Below are 14,239 nucleotides of genomic sequence, written 5' to 3' on the forward strand. Positions count from 1 at the left end.
GAATTTAATTTTCACAAGCATTATTGAGAAACCAAAGCAAAAAACAAAAAATCATTAAGTTACAAGGATGTGGCAAATGTAAATTAAAGCTACATACTGAAGGCCAGATGTGGTGGCTCACGCCTGTAATCCCAGCACTTTGGGAGGCCAAGGCGGGTGGATCATGAGGTCAGGAGATGGAGACCATCCTGGGTAACACGGTGAAACCCCATCTCTACTAAAAATACAAAAAAATAGCCAGGCATGGTGGCGGGGGCCTGTAGTCCCAGCTACTCGGGAGGCTGAGGCAGGAGAATGGTGTCAACCCGGGAGGTGGAGCTTGCAGTGAGCCGAGATCACGCCACTGCACTCCAGCCTGGGCAACAGAGTGAGACTCCATCTCAAAAAAAATAAATAAATAAAGCTACATACTGAAATCAAAGCAGACAAATCCATACATTGGTCCACCAAAAAGTGAGCAGCCTAGGACTATAGAAAACTTTATATTACCCAAAGAGTTGGGGAAAGTCAGTTTATCATCAGTTTTGGCAGGGGTGGGAGTAGAGGGGAAATAACTTTCCAGTAAACAAAAAACATTGTCTGCACAGAGTTTAAAGGGAACGTGTGAAGGTTTCTGCCTACCCTATATCTACTCTTTCTTCTTATGGAACAGTCCTGTCATTTTCCTCTAGAAAATTGCCTCCTATATTTTCTGGCTATGTGTTCAAGGAGGTATAATACCCACCCCCAGATCCAGGGATGGGCACTTAATCCAAGCCAGGATAAGGAATATATACCCTTGGAAATTTCCTGGACTAATAATTAATAGGATGTTATAAGCCTGGAGCTGCCATTGCTAAGGGCTAAAGCTGGGAGGTAAGTCAGTCACATTGAGCCAGGCGAGCGCTGTGGGCTGAGCAGGGGCTGCAGGGCAGTGGGAGTGCAGACTGAAAAAATGCAGACCGGGGCACTACTCATTTCTCCAGCTCTGATGTGCTGTTGTACCAGGGGTCTAATCAGGCCTGTGTCTGCCTCCTTCTTGAATAGCCCAGAGAATTCATCTAAACAGCCCTCCTATAGCAGCTCCCCACTGCAGGTGGCCAGACAGGAGTTTTAGACCAGTGTTGTCTCACGGAACATTGACACAGCAGCCAAGTTGATTGGTGCTGGGGCAGCCACAGTAAGTGTGGCTGGTTCAGGGGTTGGCATTGGAACAGTGTTTGGTAGCTTGATCATTGGCTATGCCAGAAACCCGTCTCTCAAGCAGCAGTTCTTCTCCTGTGTCATTCTGGGCTTTGCCTGGGGACTTGGGGCTCTTCGGTTTGATGGCTGCCTTCCTCATCCTCTTTGCCCTCCCTGATGGTCACCTGCGTGTCCCTGCTGCTGCAACTCCACATCATTCCTGGTGCTGGGGTGTGCTAAGCTTTACCATTAAACACAATGTTTCTCAAAAAAACAAACAAACAAACAAAAACCAGGAGAGCTTGCTTGAGAATGAAGTCAGTGCAGAAGAAAGCAGGCTCTAGAAACAAAACCATCTGATCTTTGACAAACCTGACAAAAACAATAAACGGGGAAAGGATTCCCTATTTAATAAATGGTGCTGGGAAAACTGGCTAGCCATAGGTAGAAAACTGAAACTGGCTCCCTTCCCTACACCTTATACAAAAATTAATTCAAGATGGATTAAAGACTTAAATGTTAGACCTAAACCATAAAAACCCTAGAAGAAAACCTAGGCAATACCATTCAGGACATAGGCATGGGCAAGGACTTCATGATTAAAACACCAAAAGCAATGGCAACAAAAGCCAAAATAGATAGATGGGATCTCATTAAACTAAAGAGCTTCTGCACAGCAAAAGAAACTACCATCAGAGTGAACAGGCAACCTACAGAATGCGAGAAAATTTTTGCAATCTACCCATCTGACAAAGGGCTAATATCCAGAATCTACAAAGAAGTTAAACAAATTTACAAGAAAAAAACAACCCCATCAAAAAGTGGGCAAAGAATATGAACAGGCACTTCTTAAAAGAAGACATTTATGCAGCCAAAAGACACATGACAAAATGCTCATCATCACTGGTCATCAGAGAAATGCAAATCAAAACCACAATGAGATACCATCTCACACCAGTTAGAATGGAGATCATTAAAATGTCAGGAAACAACAGATGCTGGAGAGGATGTGGAGAAATAGGAACGTTTTTACACTGTTGGGAGTGTAAAGTAGTTCAACCATTGTGGAAGACGGTGTGGCAATTCCTCAAGGATCTAGAACTAGAAATACCATTTGACCCAGTATCCCATTACTGGGTATATACCCAAAGGATTATAAATCATGCTGCTATAAAGACACATGCACATGTATGTTTATTGTGGCACTATTCACAATAGTAAAGACTTGGAACCAACCCAAATGTCCATCAATGATAGACTGGATTAAGAAAATGTGGCTCATATACACCATGGAATACTATGCAGCCATAAAAAAGGATGAGTTCATGTCCTTTGTAGGGACATGGATGAAGCTGGAAAACATCATTCTCAGCAAACTATCACAAGGACAGAAGGACAGAAAACCAAACATCGCATGTTCTCACTCATAGGTGGGAAGTGAACAATGAGAACATTTGGACACAGGGAGGGAAACATCACACCCCAGGGCCTGTCATGGGGAGGGGGGCAGGGGGAGGGATAACATTAGGAGAAATACCTAATGTAAATGACAAGTTAATGGGTGCAGCAAACCAACATGGCACATGTATACATATGTAACAAACCTGCATGTTGTACACATGTACCCTAGAACTTAAAGTATGATTAAAAAAAAAAAAGAAACAAAGAAAAACAGTCGACTGGCTGGGCACAGTGCCTCATGCCTGTAATCTCAACACTTTGGGAGGCCAAGGCAGGCGGATCACAAGGTCAGGAGATCAAGACCATGCTGGGTAACATGGTGCAACCCCGTTCTCTACTAAAAAAAATACAAAAAATTAGCCAGGCGTGGTGGTGGGCGCCTGTAGTCCCAGCTACTTGGGAGGCTAAGGCAGGAGAATGGCGTCAACCCGGGAGGTGGAGCTTGCAGAGAGCTGAGATTGCACCACTGCACTCCAGCCTGGGTGACAGAGTGAGACTCTGCCTCAAAAAAAAAAAAAAAAAAGGAAAACAGTCGACCTTTGTATATTAACGTTTTATCCTGCAAGCTTGCTATACTCATTTATTTGTTACAGAAAGGTTTAAAAAATTATTTGGTATTTTCTACATAGACAATCACATTGTCTACAGACAATTTGGTTTCTTTCTTCCCCAACTACATGCCTTTTATTTTAGCTTTTTATTCTATTACACTAGGGACTTCAAGTATGGTGTAAATAAGAGCAGGGAGAAGGGCCATTCTTGCTTTGTTCTTGGTCTTATGGAGAAAGCACCCATTTTTCCCCACTAAGGATGATGTTATCTGGAGGTTTGTTTGTTTTGTAGATGTTCTTTATCTAACTGAGGAAGTGCCCCCAGTTATATTTTGCTGAAGATTTTTATCAGCAATTGATATAACCATATAATTTTTCTTCTTTCATCTATAGATGTGGTGGATTATATTGATTGAATTTAGAATATTGAACCAGACTTGCATACCTTGAATAAATCCTATTTGACCATTGTGTGTAATGCATACAAGGTTGAATTTTATTAGCTAATTTTTTGGGGAATATTTTTTGCTAATATTTTGTTGAAGACACTGGAGGATACTGGTCTGTATTGTACTTGTTGTAATGCCTTTATCTTGCTTTTGGTATTAAAGTAATATTGGCCTCAAAAAAAAAAAAAAAACAGGAGAGCTTGCTTGAGAATGAAGTCAGTGCAGAAGAAAGCAGACTCTAGAAACAAAAAAAGACAACACGTGATGTAATTGAGCACAATGAGCTCGCCATGCTGGCCTAAAGCCATGATGCTGGACTTTTAGACACATAAGCAAATAATACACCCTTTTTGTTTAAGGCAGTTTTAATTATATTTCCAACCTTTGCCACTGACTAATATAAAACTGCACTTACTCCCTTAAGCTCATAAGACGTTTTATAACTGAGGGTATTTTTGTGTTTCTATATCAGCACCAGGAATATACATACAGAAGTACTGGGAAACAAATATTTAAAGCTCTAGGGCTGGGCAAACTTTTTCTTAAAGTGCCAAATAGTAAAATTTTAGGCTTTGTGGACCAAGAGGCAAAACTCAGGATACTATGTAGATACTTAAATAGCCATCTGCAATAGTTTGAATGATAGTGTCCCCTCCAAAATTCATGTTGAAATTTATTCCTAATGCAACAGTATTAAGAGATGTTGCACTTAGGGAGTGATTAAGTCCTGAATATTCTGGCCTCAGGAATGGAATTAACACCCTTATGAAACAGCTCAAGGCTGAAGGGAGAGCTCTCTTGTCCTTCCATACTTTCCATCATGCAAAAACACAACCTTCCTCCCCTCTGGAAATTTCAGCAAAAAGGCGCCATCTTGGAAGCAGAGAGCAGCCCTCACCAGATGCCAATCCTGCCGGTGCCTTGACCTTGGACTTCTCAACTTCCAGAAATGTGAGAAATAAATGTGTATTGTTTATAAATTACCCAATCTCATGTATGTTGTTAAAGTAGCACAGACGAACATAACACACTATTTTAAATGCAACAATTTTAAAAGGTAAAAACCATTCTTAACTCCCTTGCTATTAAAAAAAATCAGCCTCATGTATTTGACCTGCAGGCCCTGCAAAAAAAATGGCTTATCTTACTTTGAACATTCTTTCTTTTTCTGTCTCTTAGAAGAAAGTATTTGCTCATTTCATTGTTATCCTTCAAGAATCAGCACAAATATCTCCTTACAATGGCCGTTCCTGGGATTGCATATGTTGGGTCCTATGTTCTCTCTTCCATGCTTTACTTTTCTAGACTCATAACCTTTACTCAGTTCCTTCACTCATTTTGACATTTTAAAATTGTGAAACTTCAGGCATATAAAATGCTATAAAATACTAAACACTTGTGTATTATGTGTACAACTGAGCATAACAGTTAATACATGACCCATACATTTCAATTCTATTTTGTACCTTTCCTGAAACACATTTTTCTCTCTGTTAGACAGTTACTCTCCACCCGTGATTTGGTACCTATCCGTCTTTTCATATCATTATAATTGTATAGCATCTCCAGTTATTCCCATATGTGTGAGTGTAACGTTGTTATATGTTTAAAGCTTTATAAAAACATGTGAATTTTTCTAAAATTTACTTTTTTTTTTGCTTTTTCTTTTTTTCATCTTAGCATTGTATCTGTGAGAGTCATCAAAGTTGATTTATGTAGCTACAATTCATTAACTTTTACTGCTCTATTGAAACGCATTTGATGAATACACCACACTCTGTCTATTCTGTTGACGAACATCAAGGCTGCTTCCAATTTTTGGCACACACAAATATGTGCTGCTCTGAAAGTATTTTGCCTGCCACCTTGTGCACATCTGGGAGAACTCCTCCGTAGTCATCACATATGCAGGGGCAGAATTGCTTGGTCGTAGGTGATGTACATCTTTCTTTTTTTTTTTTTTTTTTTTTTTTTTGTATTTTTTAGTAGAGACGAGGTTTCACCACGTTAGCCAGGATGATCTCCATCTCCTGACCTCGTGATCCTCCCGCCTCGGCCTTCCAAGCCTGGGATTACAGGCTTGAGCCACCGCGCCCGACCGCCGATGTACATCTTAAAGTATGCTATAGATTACTTTACTTCCGCCCCATAAGTGAACCCATTCCCCTTCTTCTCTGCAGTCTGTAAGAGTACTCATTGCTCCAAATCGTTACTAAAATATGGTATTGTTTAAAACTTTTAAGCTTTTAAGATTTTCAAGCATAAAAAAATAGAGAAACAACGTAATGGATCCTAAGTATCCATTACCCAGTTTCAAGAATTATCATCTCGTAGTCAGTATTGTTTCATGTGTGCTGATATCCACTTCCCTTATCACATGTCATTTTTTAGCAAACCACAGGCATAAAAATCATTATCGGCTGGGCACGGTAGCTCATGCCTGTAATACCAGCATTTTGGGAGGCCAAGGCAGGCGGATCACCTGAGGTCTGGAGTTCAAGACCAGCCTGACCAACATGGAGAAACCCCGTCTCTACTAAAAATACAAAATTAGCTGGGTGTGGTGGCACATGCCTGTAATCCCAGCTACTCAGGGGACTGAGGCAGGAGAATCACTTGAACCCAGGAAGGGGAGGTTGCAGTTAGCTGAGATCGCGCCATTGCACTCCAGCCTGCACAACAAGAGCGAAACTCCGTTTCAAAAAAAAAAAATCATTATCATTTAATTTGTAAATATTGTATGGTATTACAGCTTTAAGACTTTTTTATTTAAAAAATGACCACAGTGCCAGTACCACACCTCAAAAAAAAATTTCTTACCAGCAAATATCCAGTAGTGTCAGTATCATCATGAACATTTTTAATAGTTTTAATCAGTATCAAATAAAATTCACATATTGGAAATGATTAATGTCTCATGTATTCTTTTGGTCTGCAGATTCCTTTTCCTATTTTCTGTTTCCCCACTTCCTTTACTTGTTAAAGAAATTAAATGTTTTATCCTGTAGAATTTTCCACAGACTGGATTTTGCTGATTGCATCTCCATGATGCTGTTTGATATGACCAGTAAGTTGCTAGTTAGGACTATAGGCTACAGGGTTGGTATCGTATTTTTCCATTGTAATGCCTGGTTATCTGATTCCTTGTGATTTTAGCAGTTGGTACTCAATCTCTACATTCGTAATTTGTTTCATGCTGCAAAATGTTTAATTCTAATTTTCTCACCCCTTCTCAACTAAATAGCTGGAATACTTCTATGAAGAGAAACTTTCCCTTCTACTGTTGAGTTACTTAGTAGTAGAGTTCATACAGTAAAGATGAAACAAAAATGATTTGTTTTATAATGTTTATCTGTTCTTGGAAAAAATGAGATGGTTTACAACCACTCTTCAATGATGACTAATAAATTTATTTTTTGTATTATTTAGAATTCAAAATAATAACGTATAAAAGCTCATGAATTTAAATATAATTGATGGGGTTCAATCCATCTCAGTTCTTGTTCTTTCTGATACTCAGATTTTTCTTCTTTGTCTGATGGAGCCTCCTTGAGTTGGACCTTGAGTCACTTTGACAGTTTTGATACCCTTCTTGTTATTTTCTGTGATAGGCTATTGCACGCTCATCTTATATTTATCCTGGCCCAGGTCTGAAATTATCCACTTCTCCAGGGATCCTTGGTGTGTGTGTGTGTGTGTGTGTGTGTGTGTGCGTGTGTGTGTGTGCGTGTGTGTGTTTCAGTGGGAATGGCATTTGGCATTTATACTCTGGGCACTGCAAGTTGTTGATGAAATAATTTAATGCTTGTTAATCTGATAGGTATGTAATAGTAGCTCACCGTGGTTTTGATTTACATTGCTTAGATAATTACTTAGGTTGAGTGTTTGTAGGAATATTCTGATCATGTCAGTTTCTGTTCCAAGTTGTCAATTCACATCTATCATTAATTTTATTCCATTGGATTGTTGTCTTTTTTATTGAGTGTTGAGGGTTCTTTAGATATTTTATATATCTGTTCTTTATTGGCTATATTTGTTTCAAAAAATTGCTCCCAACCTGTGCCTTTTTTTACTGCTGCTATACTATCTTTTAATGAGAGAATTTCTTAATCTGAATGCAGTTAAGTGTACTTTTATTTTGTGGGTTGTGCTTTTCCCTATCTTGCAAAATAATTTCCCAAAGAAGACAACATCATGAATGGTATCAGGAGGAGCCATGCAAATCCTCTCTTGAGTGAAATAAGTATAATTGGTAAAAATTATAAAATGAACAGCCATTTAAAGTCTCTGGGAATATCTAACAAAATCTATTAAAGCTGGGTAAGAACAGTGAGTGCCTGTGGCACTTGAGCTATGACCTAATCCCTCTCTCCCCTTTTTCAGCTCAGTGTGGTGGAAGTGCCTTTCTGACTGAGCTTGGTCAATAAGATGGGTCTCTCCATCCAGTTCCCATGTAGGTGCTACTGTATCTCTCTCGCTGAGGCAGGCTACCAGCATTTCTTATACTTGTTAACTTCCATGTAGCAGAGGCTAAATTCCAGGTGAATATGGGTAAGAGGTCAGGCGTTCCCTCCCTTTACCCACCTGCTTCTTGTAAAGGCTCTAGCTCAGGTGTAGAAGGCTAAGAATACTGGATTCCTGATTACCCTCACCTGAGCATGTTGGTAAGGTGGTTTTCATGCCTGGGGAGGCAAGAAAAGACAAGAGGCTACTGCCTCCACCCAGCACTTTGCCCATAAATCAAGGATGTCACTCAAGAGTAGCATGCCACTGTCCCCACCTCACCTCTGGAGAAGTCGCCTAAAATTTTTGCTCAGGAGAAAAATCAGCCCATAAGAACAGAAAGATCCAATGCTCTCCCCAGGGGAACTGACTTCATTTGGAACAGACTGTAGAAAAGTTCAAGCCTAAGTGCACTGTCAAAAACAATGGAGATTTCAGATGTAAGCAATTGAAAGGATGTTGGTAGATCCATGAAACCATCAGTTAAACTCTAGGCCAACTAGTTACTAGGAAAATAAAAAAACAACAACAAGAAAAAAGACAGCCAAGAAGAGCCCTCCTGGAGTCAAAACAAATTTCAGTGACTTGCTTCAAAAACTACCCTTATGAGGGGCTCTTACATTATTAGATGAGACTGTGAAGCTATTTATGCACCATGTCGTTGTCAAAAACAATAGAACAATCAGCCTACAATTTAGTGTACCCCAACAGCTGGGTGTGATACCAAGAGAGGCAAGCAGTTTAACTTAGAAACCCATAAAGAGACTGCCAGAAAGCTCCACTAAAAGCACTGTAAATCCCAGGGTGACTATCTCCATCCCTAGGCTGTACCCTCTCAGGAGCAACATCAAAGGTGTCACGCTGCAGGGAGAAATATAATTTATTATATGAGTTCAAGGAAGTGAGTAAACAAATCAACAAGCAAACCAACAATGAAAAAGTACCTAAGAAACTATACTAATACAGTTAATATTTTTTAAACTCCATAATGTATAGCTGTTCTCCTTTCTTCTCTTGGCTTCTTCATAAGACATAAAGTTATATAAAGTAATAATTACAACAAAGTATAATTGGGAAGAAAAATCAGTATCCAGAGTTGCCACAGTATAGAATTTTAAATATCCAGTTTTTTACAAAAAATATGAGACATGCAAAGGAAGGGGAAAGAGTAAACTGCACACAAGATCATTAGATGGCAACAGGAACAACTTAAAGAGGACCGAGATGTAGGACTTAGCAGACAAAGCTTTCAAAACAGTTATTATAAATAAGTTCTAAGATCTAAAAAATACCATGCTTAAAGAAGTTAAGGAAGGTATGATGACAATGTCATAGCAAATACAGAATGTCAATAAGTATAAAGAAGTTTTATTTTTTTAAAGAAGAACAAAATGGAAATGTTTAGTGAAATAGCACAATACAGAAATAAAAATTGCACTAGAAGGACTCAGTAGTAGATTTCAATAGTCAGAAGAAACAGCTAACTTGAAGACAGATTGATAAAGAATATGCACGATGGTGCGTGCCTGTAGTCCCAGCTACTTGGGAGGCACCTTAGGTACCAGCTTGGCCCACAGAGATTTAGAGCACCAGGCAGGCTCTTAGGGTCCCCGATTCTGGGCATTGGCATTTGGATTGCATTTCTGAACCTGCTCTGAGCCAGACAGTAGCCTACCACCCTGAAGGGTGACTCCCAGGCCTAGCAACTTTCACCACAAGCTGACGTAAGAGCCCTTGGGCTTTAAGTGAACATTGGTGGAAGCCTGACAGTACTCCTTGTGCGACTGTGGTTGTGGTGGCCATGTGGTGAGGCTCCTCTGCCTGTGGAAAAGGGAGGCAAGAGTAAGAAAGACTTTGTTTCATTGTTTGAGAGCCAGCTCAGCATCAGTACAGTTGAACGCTGTAGGTTTTTAACTCCCATCCCTGGTTTCTGTATGGCATCTCTGGACCCACCCTGGGCCTGGGGAACTTGACACCCTGAAGGAAAAAACACAAGCCTGTCTGAATTCACCATCTGCTGATTATCTAGTCCTAGGGTCTTGAGCAAACATAGACAGTAGATAGATAGAGGTTACAGCAAGCCTTGGGCAAGACCCAGTGGTCTGCTGGTTTCAGGTCTGACCCAGTGCAGTCGCAGTGGTGGTGGTCATAGAGGTGCTTGTGTCACCCCACTCAAGCTCCAAGTGGCTCAGCACAGAAAGATAGACTCTGTTAATTTGGAGAAAATAAGGGAAGAGAATGAGCATCTCTACTTGGTATTCCAGAGAATTCTTCTGGATCTTATCCAAGACCACTAAGGTGGTACCTCCATGAATCTGCAAGAACCACAGCATTACTGGGCCATGGGTCCCCCCGAATGCAGATACAGCTTAGATCATAACACTCAAGTTCTTTGAATTCCTGGAAATCCTTCCCAAGCAGGGTGGGTACAAATAAGCCCAGACTGCAAAAACTGCAATAAATACCTAACTCTTCAATACCCAAACACCAATGAGTATCTACAAGCATCAACACTGTCTGGGAAAACATGACCTTATCAAAGTGAATAAAGCGGATGGAGCCAAGATGGCCAAACAGGAACAGCTCCGGTGTACACCTCCCAGCGTGAGTGACGGAGAAGACGGGTGATTTCTGCATTTCCATCTGAGGTACCAGGTTCATCTCACTAGGGAGTGCCAGACAGTGGGTGCAGGACAGTGGGGGCAGCGCACTGTGCATGAGCCAAAGAAGGGCGACGCATTGCCTCACTCAGGAAGTGCAAGGGGTCAGGGAGTTCCCTTTCCTAGTCAAAGAAAGGGGTGACAGATGGCACCTGGAAAATCGGGTCACTCCCACCCTAATACTGCACTTTTCTAACAGGCTTAAAAAACGGCACACCAGGAGATTATATCCCGCACATGGCTCAGAGGGTCCTATGCCCACGGAGTCTCGCTAATTGCTAGCACAGCAGTCTGAGATCAAACTGCAAGGTGGCAGTGAGACTGGGAGAGGGGCGCCTGCCATTGCCCAGGCTTGATTAGGTAAACAAAGCAGCCGGGAAGCTCGAACTGAGTGGAGCCCACCACAGCTCAAGGAGGCCTGCCTGCCTCTGTAGGCTGCACCTCTGGGGGGCAGGGCACAGACGAACAAAAAGACAGCAGTAACCTCTGCAGACTTAAATGTCCCTGTCTGACAGCTTTGAAGAGAGTAGCGGTTCTCCCAGCATGCAGCTTGACATCTGGGAATGGGCAGACTGCCTCCTCAAGTGGGTCCCTGACAACCGAGCAGCCTAACTGGGAGGCACCCCCCAGTAGGGGCAGACTGACACCTCACACAGCCGGGTACTCCTCTGAGACCAAAATTCCAGAGGAACGATCAGGGAGCAGCATTTGTAGGTCACCAATATCTGCTGTTCTACAGCCACTGCTGTTCTGCAGCCACCGCTGCTGATACCCAGGCAAACAGGGTCTGGAGTGGACCTCTAGCAAACTCCAACAGACCTGCAGCTGAGGGTCCTGTCTGTTAGAAGGAAAACTAACAAACAGAAAGGATATCCACACCAAAAACCCATCTCTACATCACCATCATGAAAGACCAAAAGTAGATACAACCACAAAGATGGGGAAAAAACAGAGCAGAAAAACTGGAAACTCTAAAAATCAGAGCGTCTCTCCTCCTCCCAAGGAACACAGCTCCTCACCAGCAATGGAACACAGCTGGACAGAGAATGACTTTGATGAGTTGAGAGAAGAAGGCTTCAGAAGATCAAACTACTCTGAGCTACAGGAGGAAATTCAAACCAATGGCAAAGAAGTTAAAAACTTTGAAAAAAAATTAGACAAATGGATAACTAGAATAACCAATGCAGAGAAGTCCTTAAAGGAGCTGATGGAGCTGGAAGCCAAGGCTCGAGAACTATGTGAAGAATGCAGAAGCCTCAGGAGCCGATGCGATCAACTGGAAGAAAGGGTATCAGTGATGGAAGACGAAATGAATGAAATGAAGCGAGAAGGGAAGTTTAGAGAAAAAAGAATAAAAAGAAATGAACAAAGCCTCCAAGAAATATGGGACTATGTGAAAAGACCAAATCTACGTCTGATTGGTGTACCTGAAAGTGACGGGGAGAATGGAACCAAGTTGGAAAACACTCTGCAGGATATTAACCAGGAGAACTTCCCCAATCTAGCAAGGCGGGCCAACATTCAAATTCAGGAAATACAGAGAACGCCACAAAGATACTCCTCGAGAAGGGCAACTCCAAGACACATAACTGTCAGATTCACCAAAGTTGAAATGAGGAAAAAATGTTAAGGGCAGCCAGAGAGAAAGGTCGGGTTACCCACAAAGGGAAGCCCATCAGACTAACAGTGGATCTCTTGGCAGAAACTCTACAAGCCAGTAGAGAGTGGGGACCAATATTCAACATTATTAAAGAAAAGAATTTTTAACCCAGAATCTCATATCCAGCCAAACTTAGCTTCATAAGTGAAGGAGAAATAAAATACTTTACAGACAAGCAAATGCTGAGAGATTTTGTCACCACCAGGCCTGCCCTAAAAGAGCTCCTGAAGGAAACGCTAAACATGGAAAGGAACAACCGGTACCAGCCACTGCAAAAACATGCCAAAATGTAAAGACCATCAAGGCTAGGAAGAAACTGCATCAACTAACAAGCAAAATAACCAGCTAATATCATAATGACAGGACCAAATTCACAAATAACAATATTAACTTTAAATGTAAATGGGCTAAATGCTCCAATTAAAAGACACAGACTAGCAAATTGGATAAAGAGTCAAGATCCGTGAGTGTACTGTATTCAGGAAACCCATCTCATGTGCAGAGACACACATAGGCTCAAAATAAAGGGATGGAGGAAGATCTACCAAGCAAATGGAAAACAAAAAAAGGCAGGGGTTGCAATCTTAGTCTCAGATAAAACAGACTTTAAACCAACAAAGATCAAAAGAGACAAAGAAGGCCATTACATAATGGTAAAGGGATCAATTCAACAAGAAGAGCTAACTATCCTAAATATATATGCACCCAATACAGGAGCACCCTGATTCATAAAGCAAGTCCTTACAGACCTACAAAGAGACTTAGACTCCCACACAATAATAATGGGAGACTTTAACACCCCACTGTCAACATTAGACAGATCAGCGAGACAGAAAGTCAACAAGGATACCCAGGAATTGAACTCAGCTCTGCACCAAGCGGACCTAATAGACATCTACAGAACTCTCCACCCCAAATCAACAGAATATACATTTTTTTCAGCACCACACCACACCTATTCCAAAATTGACCACATAGTTGGAAGTAAAGCACTCCTCAGCAAATGTAAAAGAACAGAAATTATAACTAACTGTCTCTCAGACCACAGTGCAATCAAACTAGAACTCAGGATTAAGAAACTCACTCAAAACCGCTCAACTACATGGAAACTGAACAACTTGCTCCTGAGTGACTACTGGGTACATAACGAAATGAAGGCAGAAATAAAGATGTCCTTTGAAACCAACGAGAACAAAGACAAAACATACCAGAATCTCTGGGACACATTCAAAGCAGTGTGTAGAGGGAAATTTATAGCACTAAATGCCCACAAGAGAAAGCAGGAAAGATCTAAAATTGACACCCTAACATCACAATTAAAAGAACTAGAAAAGCAAGACCAAACACATGCAAAAGCTAGCAGAACGCAAGAAATAACTAAAATCAGAGCAGAACTGAAGGAACTAGAGACAAAAAAAAAAAACCCTTCAAAAATCAATGAATCCAGGAGCTGGTTTTTTGAGAAGATCAACAAAATTGATAGACCGCTAGCAAGACTAATAAAGAAGAAAAGAGAGAAGAATCAAATAGATGCAATAAAAAATGATAAAGGGGATATCACCACTGATCCCACAGAAATACAAACTACCATCAGAGAATACCACAAACACCTCTATGCAAATAAACTAGAAAATCTAGAAGAAATGGATAAATTCCTTGACACATACACCCTCCCAAGACTAAACCAGGAAGAAGTTGAATCTCTGAATAGACCAATAACAGGCTCTGAAATTGTGGCAATAATCAATAGCTTACCAAGCAGAAAAAGTCCAGGACCAGATGGATTCACAGCCG

The 14,239-nt window shown here is 41.0% G+C and overlaps 1 pseudogene; it reads left to right on the top strand.

Annotated features, from left to right (window-relative positions):
* On the top strand, positions 817 to 1,432 carry ATP5MC1P8 (ATP synthase membrane subunit c locus 1 pseudogene 8; annotated as a pseudogene).

This window comes from Homo sapiens, chromosome 10 (genome assembly GCF_000001405.40).
Source record: "Homo sapiens chromosome 10, GRCh38.p14 Primary Assembly".
In the NCBI taxonomy this organism is placed as follows: domain Eukaryota; kingdom Metazoa; phylum Chordata; class Mammalia; order Primates; family Hominidae; genus Homo; species Homo sapiens.